This window comes from Homo sapiens, chromosome 1 (genome assembly GCF_000001405.40).
Source record: "Homo sapiens chromosome 1, GRCh38.p14 Primary Assembly".
Lineage (NCBI taxonomy): Eukaryota > Metazoa > Chordata > Mammalia > Primates > Hominidae > Homo > Homo sapiens.
In genome coordinates this window covers 177,999,767-178,014,486 of record NC_000001.11, presented here as the reverse complement: position 1 = coordinate 178,014,486, position 14,720 = coordinate 177,999,767, and the positions used below count along the sequence as shown (strand labels likewise).

The 14,720-nt window shown below is 38.9% G+C and overlaps 1 protein-coding gene and 1 pseudogene across 11 annotated transcripts in view, besides 1 other annotated feature; both read left to right on the top strand.

Moving 5' to 3' along the window:
* The window catches only part of CRYZL2P (crystallin zeta like 2, pseudogene), a 31,872-nt pseudogene extending 23,521 nt beyond the window's left edge, over positions 1-8,351 (top strand). For all 8 annotated transcript variants that reach the window (NR_151484.1, NR_151483.1, NR_151486.1 and 5 more), the window contains one exon: positions 6,338-8,351. The product of NR_151484.1 is annotated as a crystallin zeta like 2, pseudogene, transcript variant 3 (transcript). The remainder of the gene's footprint in view (positions 1-6,337) is intronic.
* CRYZL2P-SEC16B (CRYZL2P-SEC16B readthrough) overlaps positions 1-14,720 on the top strand; it is a 109,189-nt gene that overhangs the window by 23,490 nt on the left and 70,979 nt on the right. The window lies entirely within an intron of this gene.
* Positions 2,806-3,006: a silencer, noted in NCBI's record as "peak475 fragment used in MPRA reporter construct". NCBI's record gives its function as "represses an SCP1 promoter by STARR-seq MPRAs in K562 erythroleukemia cells {active_cell/tissue: K562}" and the evidence as "EXISTENCE:reporter gene assay evidence [ECO:0000049][PMID:32103011]".

Sequence of the window (14,720 nt, the reverse complement as noted above, 5' to 3'; positions counted from 1 at the left end):
TAACTGCAAAAAACAAACAGAAAAACCCTCCCAAAAACCTAGGAATATACTTAACCAAGGAGGTGAAAGATCTCTACAAGGAAAACTGCAAAACACTGCTGAAAGAAATCATAGATAACACAACCAAATGGAAACATATCCCATGCTCATGGATGGGAACAATCAATATTGTGAAAATGACCATGCTGCCCAAAGCAATCTACAGATTCAATGCAATTGCTATCAGAATACCAGCATCATTCTTCACATAACTGGAAAAAACAATCCTAAAATTCATATGGAACCAAAAAAGAGCCCACATAGCCAGAGCAATACTAAGCAAAAAGAACAAATCTGGAAACATCACATTACCCAACTTCAAATTATAGTACAAGGCCATAGTTACCAAAACAGCATGCTACTGGTTTAAAAATAGGCACATAGACCAATGGAACAGAATAGAGAGCCCAGAAATAAAGCCCAATTCTTACAGCCAACTGACTTTCAACAAATCACACAAAAACATAAATTGGGGAAAGGACACCCCATTCAATAAATGGTGCTAGGAAAACTGGCAGGCACATCTAGAAGAAACAAACTGGATCCCTATCGCTCACCTTATACAAAAATCAACTCAAGAACTCAAGATGGATCAAATACTTAAATATAAGACCTGAAACCATAAAAATTCTAGAAGATAACATCAGAAAAACTCTTCTAGACATTGGCTTAGGCAAAGAATTCATGACTAAGACCCCAAAAGCAAATGCAACAAAAACAAAAAATAAATAGATGGGACCTAATTAAACTAGAAAGCTTCTGCACAGCAAAAGAAATAATTAGCAGAGTAAACAGACAACCCACGGAGAGGGAGAAAATATTTGCAACCTATGCATCTGACAAAGGACTAGTATCCAGAATCTACAAGGAACTCAAATCAGCAAGAAAAAAAAACAAATAGTTCCATCAAAAGTGGGGGAAGGACATGAATAGACATTTCTCAAAAAGAGATATACAAACAGCCAACAAACGTATGAAAAAAATGCTCAGCATCACTAATAATTGGGGAAATGCAAATTAAAATCACAGTGAGATACCATGTTACTCCTGCAAGAATGGCCATAATTAAAAAGTTAAAAAACAATAGATGTTGGTGTGGATGTGGTGAAAAGGGAACGCTTTTACACTGCTGGTGGGAATGTAAATTAGCATAACCATTATGGAAAACAGTATGGAGATTCCTTAAAGAACTAAAAGTAGAACTATCATTCAATCCAGCAATCCCAGTATTGGGTATCTACCCAAAGGAAAAGAAGTCATTATATGAAAAAGACATGTACACACATGTTTATAGTGGCACAATTTGCAATTGCAAAGATATGGAACCCACCTAAGTGCCCAATGACCAATGAGTGGATAAAGAAAATGTGGTATATGTACACCATGGAATTCTACTCAGCCATAAAAAGAGACAAAAAAAAAAATGCCTTTTGCAGCATCTTGGATGAAGCTGGAGGTCATTATTCTAAGTGAAGTAACTCAGGAATGGAAAATCAAATACCGTATGTTCTCACTTATAAGTGGGATCTAAGCTATGAAGACTCAAAGGCATAAGAGTGATATTAATGAATTTTGGGGTCTCGGTTTGGGGGAAGATTTGGGGGATGGATAAAAGGCTACATATTCGGTACCATGTATACTGCTGGGTAATGGGTACACTAAAATCTCAGAAATCACAACTAAGTAACTTATCCATGTAACCAAAAGCCACCTGTACTCCAAAAACGATTAGAAAAAAAACCCAGTCCCACTCATCTCACATATACTCATTCATTCATGATTTATTTTATTCATCAAACATTCACTTTATGTCAGTCAATAAAAAGTAAGATTTAGTCTTGCCCATGAGGAGTTTATGTTTTAGTTGGGAAGATCTCAGGACAGTACTATGATGGGGGAGAGCCAGTTTCTAATGAATGCACACATCAATATGATATATTTAGAAAACTCTAGGTTACTTTGATTATTCCTGATTGATGAACTAGTTAAAAATTCCAACAGCAGAACCTTCATATCCTAAAACAAAAGCAGTGTTTTTATCTTGCTGCAAATTCCAGGTTGCATATCTCCAGAGACAAATTTAATTATGGCTTCATCCACCTGAAGGCAGAAAACCAGAGTGCTGGGAACAGCCTGTGTATCTATTACACCTAGGCATCAGTATTGTACAGTCTTCCTCTCTGTAACACAGCCTGTAGAATCCAGGAGGAAAGCGTCCCTAGTCTATCTGAAGTAGCTATCAAAAGACTCTGGTCTAAAGCCATGCATTTTACTTTTTAGTTTCTCACTCAGAGCCTTATCACTTTTATTAAACTTCCAGTCCTTAACACCACTGAGAGTCTGTTTTCCCAGCCCGGACAGAGACCACCAGGTAGAAAGGGACAGAGTTGGGTTATTTTTAGAAGCAGCTACAGTTACAACAGAAGTGGCAACTGGACATGGAGAGGTGACAGAATATCAGAAAAATAGAAGGTAAAATAATGGATGTTCAAAATTTTGAAATGCTGAAGTCATGGAACAAGATTATGCTTTCCCCCAGTATTCTCTGTAATAGAAGTCACAGAAATATGTGATACATTTTAATAAAGATTTTTATGCAAAATGATTAAAATTAGCTTGAGCATTTGAAGGGACAGCTTTCTTTTTATGTTAACATTTATTTGCAGAAGACCTTGACTCCCTTAGGATGCCAGGTGAAAAAGTATCACTAGCTTTAATAATATTTATTTTCTCAAGTATTTTCTATTGTCGGGCTATGACACATCTCTGGGAACAAGTTACTTCTAACTGACAGGGAGAATGATGCAGCTGTGAGTCACCTGGAAATGACTGACAGGGGGGATGAGTGTTTCAAACATCTGTCTTAGACCTCTTCCACCTCCTCGTCGAGAGTCTAAACTTGCTTAGATGGGAAAGGTCTCTGTAAGGCACAGAGCTCTGAAAAACAGATGTTTTCAGAGGATTTCATGCAGGGATTTCATGCAGCAGAGAGATTGCCATGATTGATTTGTTCCTGTACTTATTTTACTTTATTTTTTGTATTTTTTTTTTTTGAGAATCTCAAACGGAAAGGGTTGATTAATCATAATCGTCATTTCAAAGTACATTTTCATTGTTGGGCCATGGACAGCTGATCTTTTGTTTTTATGTCTGTATATTTATGAATGTCTGTATTATTCCCTTTCCCCTCATTTCCCACTGCCTCTCCCCACCTTTTCCTTCCTTCTGAGCCAGTCTGTGATGAGTTTGATATGCATCTTTGGATTTGCATTTCCTTGTAAAACAAATAGAGTTAATTTGTGTGTTAATTTCTTTTTAAGTTACATAAATGGTGTTATGCACTAGACCTTGTTCTGTTTCATATAACTCAGTCGGTGCTTTTTAAGATCCATCTGTGTTGCTGTTCCTGTATCCAGTTCATTGCTTCCCACTGTTACATCGTGGTGCATCGTATGCATCCACCACAGTTTATAGATTCATTTTCTACTGATAAACTTTGCGGTTGACTTGATGCCCTAATCAAATCATAATAATCAGTATGGCAGTAAACAGACTTATTGCACAACCTTAGGGACTTGTGCAAAGGTCACGTTGGGGTTATTTTCCCAGGTGTAGATTGTTGGGTCATAGGATGTATGCATACTTAATTTGACTGCCAGTTACTCTCCAGAATGACTTGACCAGTTTATGCCTCTATCGTCAATCAGTACGTGAGAATTCTTGTTTATTTGTCACCCTGTTGATATGTCCAACGTTCAGAATTTTGCCAAACTGGTAAGGCGTAAAGTGGCATCTTACTATTTTACTTTGAATTTTCCTGATTTCTAATACATTTAAGTATCTCTTTATATATTTGGTATCCATTCAGGTTTCCAGTGCTTTGAATTGCAATTTAAGCTCTTTGTGTAGTTTTCTATTGGGCTTCCTGTCTTTGGGTTTTGTTCTTGTTTTTTTGAGATGAGGTCTTGCTCTGTCACCTAGGCTGAAGTGCAGTGGCACAATCATGGTTCACTGAAGGCTACCTCTGGGCCTCAAGCAATCCTCCCAAATTCAAGTGAGTTCCTACCTCAGCCTCCTGAGCAGCCGGGACTACAGGCATGTGCCACCATGCCTGGCTAATTAAAAAAACCTTTTTAATAGAGATGGGGTCTCCCTGTGTTGCCCAGGCTGGTCTCCAATTCCTGGGCTCAAGCGATCCTCCCAACATGGCCTCCTGAAATGCCGGGATTGCAGGTATGAATCACCACGCCTGGCCTTCCTGTCTTTCTCTAAGTTGCAAACGTTCCTTGTGTAATCTGTGGCTCTCAAACTTTGATGTGCATATAAATCACCTGGGAATCTTTTTAAGATTCAGATTATGGTTCAATAAAGACAGGATGGGGCTCAAACCTGTGCATTTCTTATAAGCTCCCAGATGATGCGGAAGCCTGGGGTTCTTGTACCACCCTTTGAGTAGCAAAGTTCTAGATGTTAGTTTGAGACTTTGCAAAAGTCTCCTTCCACATTTGTCATGCTACTATCACTTTTGTCTAGATTTAATTGCTTTTTGTCTAGATTTAATTGCTTCACAGCTCTAAAAAAATCCTCTGAGCTCCACATAGTCATCTTTACCCCCAGCCCCTGAATCCCTGGCAGGCACTGATCTTTTTACTGTCTCTACAGTTTTGCTTTTTCCCGAATGTCATATGGTTGGATTTAGACTGCATGTAGCCTTTTCACACTGGCTTCTTTCACTTAGAAACATGCACTTAAGGTTCCTCCATGTCTTTTCTTGGCTTGATGGATCATTTCTTCTTATCACAGAATGATATTTCATTGTATAGATGTACCACTGGTTGTTTTTCCATTTACCTATTGAAGGACATTTTGGTTGCTTCCAAGTTTTGGCAATTGTGAATAAAGGTGCTATAAACATTTATGTGCAGGTTTTTATATGGACATACATTTTCGGATCATTTGGGTAAATACCTAGGAGTGAAATTGCTGGATTGTATGGTAAGGATATGTTTAGTTGTGTAAGAAACTGCCAAACTGTCTTCCAAAGTGGCTGTACCATTTTGTATTCCCTCTAGCAGCAAATGGGAGTTTCTATTGCTCTATATCTTCATCAGCATTTACTGTTAGTGTTTTGGATTTTAGCCATTCTGGTTGGTGTGTAGTGGTATCTCATTGTTGTTTTAATTTGCAATTCCCTAGTGACATATGATGTTGGGCATCTTTTTATATACTGATTTGCCATCTGTATATCTTCTTTGGTGAAGTGTCCGTTCAGATCTTTTGCCTGCTTTTTATTGTTAAGTTTTAAGAATTCTGTGTATATTTTAGATACACATCCTTTGTCAGATATATGTTTTGCAGAGATTTTTCTCCCAGACTGTGGCTTGTCTTTTTATTCTTTTAACAGTGTCTTCTGCAGAGCATAAGTTTTTAACTTTAATGAAGACTACTTACCCATTTTTTTTTCATGGATTGTGCTTTTTTGGTGCTGTATCTAAAAACTCATTGCTAAACCAAGGTGACCTAGATTTTTCGCTATATTTTCTTCTGGAAGTTTTATAGTTTTGCATTTTACATTTAAGGTCTATGATCCATTTTAAGGTTTTTTTTTGTGAAGAGTATAAGGTCTGTATCTAGATTCATATTTTTGCATGTGGCTGTGCAGTTTTTCCAGCACCATTTGTTGAAAGACTATTCTGTCTCCATTGAATTGCTTTGTTCTTTGGTCAAAGATCAGTTAACTATATTTGTATGGGTCTATTTTTGGGCTCTCTATTCTATTCCATTGATCTGTTTGTCTATTCTTTCACCAATATCACACTGCCTTGATTACTGTAGCTGCTTTTAAATATATGGTTTGTAACCTTGTACTTCCTAAAAAATGATTCAAGATAGATTACAATTTCAGTTACATAGGAAGTAGGACAATTTTAATAAAAAGACAAAAATTATTAAACATAAAAATACTGATTCTTCTGCCAGTGCCTCCATTCTTTCAAAAGCTGGAAAACAAAGCACTATTACAGTGGTGTATGAACAGGCCTAGGGCTTTTTACCGTCTGGCATTTATCTGACAACACTGAGAATTATACATTTAGAGAAATACTGAGGCTGAGTTATTCTTGAATGTTATTGTTTTCCTTTGCATTTGTGATAACTAGTTAGTGTTGCATAGTTAGTTATAGTTCATTGGAGATACATCTTAATACTTTAGTTATTTTATTGCTTGATCCTGCATCAAATGTTTGTTGAAATATCCATATATGCAAATCTGACCACATTCTTTTGCATTTTGTTTTAGGTCAATGATGCCTTCCTTCATGTGATACAGGGGAAATCCGTGGGCAAGGTGCTTCTCGCTCTTAAATAAATCCTTGCCTGAGCAGCAAAGTTAACATGTCCAGATCAAAACTCCACATCTTTCCCCAAAACCTGATTTCCCTTCTGTGTTTCCAAAGGTGTTACCACTTTCCTTACTAATCCAGGTTTAAAATCTTGGAGTCACCTTTGATTCTGTTTACTAATTGCTCCTAATTAATATGATTATATAGTTTATTGTCCAAACCTTTTCGAGAGTAAAAGGGTGCCATTAGTAATTACATCAGGAAAACATATCCCAGGCAAACCAGGATATATGGTCAGCCTACTTGATGCATTATGAAATGCGGTGATTGCCGAGTTCTGTCATTCTCACCTCTAAGATATCTCTCATGTCCATATCCTCTTTTCCATTCTGACTAATTAAGCCTCAACTGCTATTACCAGTGACCTTCTAACTGCTTTTCCTACCTTTAAGCTATTCTCACCCCCTCCATCCTTGTGATGCATTATTGCCATCGTGATCTTCCCGAAGCATAGCTCTGACTATGGCCCATCTCAGAAAACCTACAGTGGCTCACCATTGCCTGATGGTGGAGTTCAGAGCCCTTGAGCTAGCATTTCATTATGACCGTGATTTTTCCCCGCACCACTTTCCAGCCTTGTGGTCCACAATTCCACTGGGCCTTAAGTATGTACTGAACTTTCCTGCCTCCCTCATTTTGCTCTGCTTGTGCAATTTTTTCCACCCTCCATCTCTGTCAAACGTAAGCCTTCCTGACCTCTAAGACCTACCTTTGTCATGTACCTTTACCCTCAGGCAAGGAGCAATCTCTTCTCTTCCTCTTCTACCTTGCTGTAGCTTCTCCCCAAGGATTTATCACATTCTGCCTTGAATCATAGGGAACAGCATGTGTAGTGGAATGAACACAGGCCTCTGAATCCAAGATACGAGTTTAAATCCCAGCTTTGGAGGTGGTTACTTAAAGTCTCAGTGCCTTCATTCTTCTTCCTATATAAAGTAGATATTACAATATCTAACTTACAGAGTCATTGGGAGCTATACATGCAGCGATTGGGTAAAGCACCTGGCACATGGCAAGCGATTAGCAAATGCTGGTTACTTCTACTTCTTTCTCTTCCCTTTTCCCAGTCTATCATAATTTCCTTGAGAGCAGGCACCATGTCTTATTTACCCTTGTATTTCCCACAGTACTTCCCATAGTGAGTTACCCTTAGTAAATACTCAGTAAGTTGAATTGAATTTAAATTACCTGTAAGTCTTAAAATGTGGGATTAAATTAAGAATATATTGTCCTGGAAATACCCAAATGTCTATTGATGGATGAATGGATAAACAAAATGTGGTATACACATAATGGAATATTATTCAGCCTTAAAAAGGAATGAAATTCTGACATGTGCTACAATATGATGAACCTGGAAGACATTATATGTGAAATAAGCCAGACAGAAAAGGACAAATACTATATGATTCCACTTATATGAAGTACCTAGAGTAGTGTAATTCATAGAAACAGAAAGTACAGGTTGACATCCAAAATCTGAAATGAGAAATGCTCCAAAAACTGAAACTTTTTCAATGCCGACACGATGCTCAAAGAAAATGCTAATTGGAGCATTTCAGATTTTGGATTTTTGGATTTGGGATGCTCAACTGGCATAATGTGAATATTCCAAACTCTGAAAAAATCTGAAGTCTAAAACACTTCTGGTCTCAAGGATTTTGGATAAAGGATACTCAATGTGCAACATGTAGAATGGTGGTTGCAAGGTGGGAGGAGAGAATGGAGAGTTACTGTTTAATGATACAATGTTTCCGTTTGGGAAGATGGAAAGTTTTGGAGATGTGTGATGGTTATGGTTGCGCAACAATGGGAAGGTACTTAGTACTGCTTAACTGTGCACACTTAAAAATGGTAAAAATGATAAATTTTGTGTATGTCTTAAAACAATAAAAGAAGTTTTTTAAAAAATCATGTTATCCTCCTTTCTAAGTGAATCCATTCAGGGAGGAGAACTGGGAATGTGTGTAGCGTGCGTACCTTAGGTTGAAGTCAGCTCCAGTCTCTGCCGGCATCCTGGTTTGTTGGGAGAGGTCCTGTACTTTTGCTGGGTGCTAAACATTGTGCTCTATTCCTCCTACTGCATGAGTGATAATTCTCAGAAAGGAGGAGGTGGCATGGGGATAAAAACAGGCACCTGACACAACAGGGAGATGTAGGTACTTCCACTTATTCTTGATGAAGTCCGCTTCCAATAAATGTGGTAAGAGGCTTTGTTTAGAAAAAATATATATTTTTTTGAAGAATAGAATGGTAAAATAGGGATTAACATTTGAGGAAAGAATTTAAAATGGAGAAATTAGCAGAAGGAAGAGGGAGGAGAAAGATGTCAGGGAAATCACCCACGTGTGTGTTGTGGGCCACGTGGTGCCTCCACAACGCCCAGCGCACATGCTGCTGCCTCTTCCGTATCTCAGGGGGTGTGTTTCAGCCTTCTGGGAGCTTCATGCCCTGTGATTCCATTTCATAATAGGCTTCTTCTCACTTCCCTTCCCCCAACCCCATTTCATCTTAATATGAACTACTTTTATATTTAAGTGAAAGTTGGTTTTCAAAAATATTAAGAAAGTAAACTTTGAGCCTTATTTTAGAGTTTTCTAACACCCTTTGGCATAACTGAAGACATGCTGGATAGATCGTGGGAGAGAAGACAAATCAGGATTGGGAAAAGTGTATGAGCCCAGCCAGGAGCTGTCTTTTCTGCTGCTGAGAGCTGATCAGTACGTGTCACAAGTAATAAAGATCTATTGTCCCTGGTTCACTAACATCAAAATGACTTAAATAGAAAGAGACAGTCATTTAGGAGAATGAGTTTTTTCAGATTTAACACGTTTTGGTTAGAACCCCTAATGACCTGTTCTCTGCTTGCCTCTGTTCCTGTTTCATTGGAATGATTTGATTTGAAAGCATTTGACTCATATTTTAGTCATCGTTTGGTTGTTCTACCATCTGAGCCATTAGTTAGTCTGAAAAAAGAATCAATGCAGCTCCAAGTGACAGTATTTATTCTATATTCACAGACTTTTCCCAGCGTTTCCTCGTAGGCTGCTGCTGGAGGAATCATGCCCACACGCCCACCTCCCCTTTTTCAATAACTGTGGGTCTCTCCACCTGCACATACTTCTCTCCAAACCAAAGTGAGATTTTCTGCCATTAGCCGTGGAATGATCCTATCTATGCACCACCAGTATATTTGTCCCTGCTCCTTCCTCTGTAATCTCTGTGAATTTAGAAAATGACCTTTTCTATTTGAGTTATGGTAAAGATAATAAGGGCTGCTATTTGAGAAGTAAAGGATGGTGAGGTGCCTTCATGTACTCAATTGTATTTAATTTAAAACAATTGGAGTAAACTAAGAAAAATTCATTTTATTATTTCTTTTTCTTATTTTCCTTCCAAGTTTATATAAAGGAATCAATGAGCAATGACTTTTTTTTTTTCTTTTTTTGAGATGGAGTCTCACTCTGTCATCTAGGCTGGAGTGCAGTGGCACGATCTCAGCTCACTGCAAGCTCCACTTTCCGGGTTACGCCATTCTCCTGCCTCAGCCTCCCGAGTAGCTGGGACTACAGGCGCCTGCCACCACACCCAGCTAATTTTTGTATTTTTACTAGAGACGGGGTTTCACCATATTGGCCAGGCTGGCCTTGGACTCCTGACCTCAAGTGATCCACCCACCTTGGCCTCCCAAAGTGCTGGGATTACAGGTGTGAGCCACCGTGCCAGGCCAGCAGTGACTTTTTGAAATCTCTTTTGTTTATAAAAGTGATGTGAGGGGAAGACCGAATTAAACAAACAAATTCTGGCATTTCCATTTGTTCTCTTCCATTTCACGTCTTCATCAGAACTTATTGCTAGATTGAAGGTCTGACTTGGAAATTAGCTTGTTTCTAGAACTGTATCCTTGTTGAGGAATCATATACAAAGTGGCTTTTTTCCCTTTTTCGCACTGTATTTAGAAATGATCCTTTTCTTGAACTTTGGTGAACTACATCATTATTTTAGAAATGGCATTGTTAAAATAATTACAACAATACCATATAGTCACTGGAAAAGTCAAACCACCAAGAAATTTATAAGTAGAAATTGTTATCCTATTTTTCCTCTTTCTTGTCTCATTTCCATTCTCCCGGGAAAGCACTGCAAGCAATTTGTTGTTAGTCTTGACTCTTGCAAACCTTTTTAAATAGAGGCCCCCTCCACACTCCCTCCACAAACACAGAGGTGTTTTTTTTTTTAAATAAAGATATGTAAGTTTTAAAAATAGTATGCATACTGTTCTGTAATGTGCTGTTTTAAATTTAAAATATAGACATTCATATTAGTATATAGAGTTATCTCTTTTTAACAGCTGCTTAGTATTCCATAGTGAGGAGGTATATAATATATAATCATTTCCTTATTAGTGAGCTTATTCACATAAATGTTTATCAATGTGCCTCTATGTGAGCAAAAGTTTACAAATCTAGTGGGGGAGACAAACATTAATCAAATATATAAAATCATGCTAAACTGGTGCCATCTGAGGTCTAATGGAGGAATTCAACTCAGGAAGGTCAAGAAACATTCCCTGAGGAAAGACCTTTGAGCCTCTATCTGAAGATGGAAGCTTCTAGGAATTTAATCCTAGAGATTTAGATATGGAAGAAAGGGAAGAATATTCCCAGACCCTGTGGGTAGTGAAAGCACAGTGAATAAAGGGAGCTGAAAGAAGGCTAGTGGGGCTGAAGCTTGAGGAATGAAGGTAACTGTTGTGAGATGAGGCTGGCAGTGGGGACCAGGTTAGGCAGGGATGTGCAAACAAGTTATGGGAGTTTTGACTTTACCCTAAAAGCAAGGGGTGCCATTGCAGTGTTGTAAGCAGAGGTGAAACGGGGTAGCATGACCAGAATGGCCTTTTGGAATCCCTTCACCTGTAGTGGGGAGAAGGGATTAGAGAGGAATGGACAGCTAGGAGTTCATTAAAGTCCAAATGAAAGATGGTTGTATCTTGGACTAAGGTGGTGGTGATGGGGAAGGAGAGAAATGGACAGAAGGCAGAGCTATGCAGGAGATGAAAGTGAAAGGACTTGATGTTAAATTGGGTATAGGGGTAAGGAGGAGGAAAGGAGAGGGAAATGTCAAGATGACTCCTAGCTCCTAGATGTTTGAGAAGAGGGACATCAAAATTGGGTTTTGGCAGTGGAGATGGGCTATGATGGGGCAAAAGGTTAAGTTTTGTAAATATTGAGATTTACAGGACATGTTAAATACCTGTCTGGGACTCAGAAGAGAGATGTGGCCTGGAGATACAACTTTGGGAATCATTTGCATGAGGGTGATATTGATGCCTGTGGTGTGGCTGAGATTATCCATGGAGAGTGTGTAGGGTGAGAAAAGAATAGGGTATAGGCTAGTCTTGAACATGTTTCCTTTCAATAGAACCATGTAATATTTCATAACTGTGCTGTTTACCACTAAAAGTCTTAGAAGGGGTAGTTTGGTGATTTAAAATAAGTGCCAAGTGAATATAAGGAAGGATGCACTGCACAGTTGCAAAAGCACCGTCCTCTTAATGAAGGGCCAGGGACTGGGACTCTAATTCCAGCTCTTTGATCTTAGTCTAGTTACCTTTTTACTGTTTTCATGTGAAAAATAAGGATCACATGTTTTCTCTACCTTGCATGGTTCATGTGAGGGTCAAATGAGATAATGTATGTAAAAGTGCTTTGCAAGTTATTTTCATAATAGATTACAAGGTTGACTTTTACCAGTGTATTTAAATTCATTGCAGAGTTCAATTCATTTCATTTTATTGGAGCAAAAAAATGTATATTTTTTCAGCATATGCTGGGCTGACATGGAGCAAAAGAATTGTTTGATTTTTAAAATGATCCGTCAAATATTTTTACATTTTAACTAAAGCCATTGTGCTCTTTTATACAGAAGAATAGACAGAGTGATGGGAGCCCAATGATCTGATGTACTTCAAAGAATTACAGAGCCAGACAAGGTCTAGAGAAGGACATGTAAGTTGATCAAGAGGGTAGAGAGCGTTCTTTGTGAGCGATGATAAAAGAATTGGAACTCTTCATTCTGGAAGGAAAGACATGGGCTGAGGGGGGAATATGATTGAGATTTACAAGATAACGAAAACCTAGGATAAAAATATGAACTTATTAAATCCCCGAGCATAGGAACTACGGACGACTTTAACATTTTAAAGAAATAGTTTTAGGGCAAAGTAAAAATAGCACTTTTTAACAGAAGAAGAGTAAGCATATAGAACTTACTACTCTTAAAGTTTGCTAAGACCAAAAGCAAATATTGTAAGAGATTTATATTGTTGGAGGATAGATTCATAGGAGATTATAAAATGAAACCAAAACTATTTGGTTAAATCTCCCTAATCTGTTAGGATGAGGATACGGAATGACTATTAAACTTTCCTGTCTCTATCTGGCATCCTTATCTAAATCAAGATTCCTGAGTGTACATGCTGGAGAGCAGAGAGCATAGAATTTGGGCTCAGGGGCCTGGCTGGCTGCAACTATTACCTCTGTAACTTTAGAGAATCATTTCTCTTCTGTGTACCTCAGTTTACTCATCTGTTAAAGAAAGGAAGAGGGAAGGTAGTATAAACTATTATGAGAGATTCAAATGAAGTGGTGTTTCTGAAAGTGTTTTGTCATTGATAAATAGGTTTATCCTTCAAAATGTAATAATTTCCTCTTTTATTGCAGCATTTCCAGTTCTATGCCCTTCAGGTGGGATGAGCTTTACCGTGCCCGTCCTGACCCTAGCCTAGTTAGGGAGCGGTACTTGCAACTCAGAAATAGAGAGGATGGAGGGCAGGGAAGAATCCCTGGTCCTCTAAGGAGGTGGAGAGAGTGCAGACACCCCTTTTCTGATACCCCTTTCCCTCTCTGGGAAGATCTGGTGGGTAAACTAAAGAACTAAAAGTAGGGAGAACTTTCCAAACATCTGTCTTCTCCTTTAGATGTTTTGGGTGATAAGATGCCACTTAAAAGATGGGGGTGTTTGATCTCGGGTAACTTCCAGGGTTCTTGTGGATCTTAGGAACCCTGAAAAAAGCCAGTACAGGGGCTGGATGAGAAAAACCGTGGGGACTGGTTTCTTATGGCTATCATTGGTTTAGGATTTAAGGGAGAGAGAAAAATATTGCAGTTCTCTAAGGCGGGAAAGCTGATGGAGATCTGGGAGCAGGGGAAGTATGTCTTACCAGCAGGATCCTTTAAGCTCCATGTGTATCTCTTGGGAATATGACTTTGACAGAGGGGGTACACAGCAGCAGGAAGAGAGAACTGATAACAGATAACTTCCTATCTCTTCCATAGCAGATATGAATTACTTCACCTGGCTTTCAAGCACTACATCATACAATCTCATCTGATCTTACTTCCCATGTGGTATGGTGGAGAAAGAATGGCTCATAAGCCAGGAAACCTTGGATTTGAATTTTTGCTTCACCACTAATTAGGTCTGTGAGCTCAGTTTCCCATGCATAAAATGATGATAATAGTAATGGCCTTATCATTGAGTTGCTATGGGGATCAAATAAGATTATATTTGCGAAGCGCTTAGCATAGTGCCTGGCACATCATAGACCCTACATAAGTGCCAGCTTTTGTCATGACCCACCAGTACCCTCTTCTGTAAGTAGACTGATTGCTAGACTATGAGCTCTATGAAAGTGGGGATCGGGATGCATCTTGTCCACCATGGTGTCTGGTGCATGCCAGACCCTGGAGGAAGAAGTCTCCCTGTACCAAGATTCTGTCATTCCCTTTCTATGCAAGTTGTATCCATTCAGGGTCCAGTTGAAGGCTCATTTCCTCAGTGAAGCCAGCTTATATTGATCTTTCTGTCTCAGAACTCCCTTAGCAATTCAGTCCTCAGATAGCCATAGATTCGCATATTTGACTTGCTGCATTGTATATGTTAGTCCTGTCCTTCAATGATGTTCAGCTAATGGTGAAACTTGCTATGATCCAGGTCTTGGATTAGAGATGCGACCAAGGAGTCAATTCCTTAGATGCGGGACTTCTATTATATGTGATACTTTTTCCCCTGCATGGGATTCAGTGCAGGAAAGTGCCTGTCTTGCCTCAGACCTGAGGGAAACCTACTGTTTTCATGTGCTGCGTTGACATGTGACACAGTGGGGTGCTTTGCAGGAACCTCTCCCTTTGAGGGGGACATATTTTCTGGCACTTACAACTAGAATTCCTTCCTCATTCCTAGTACCTTTGACTTGATGGAAAAGCTGTGCAGGGCGTT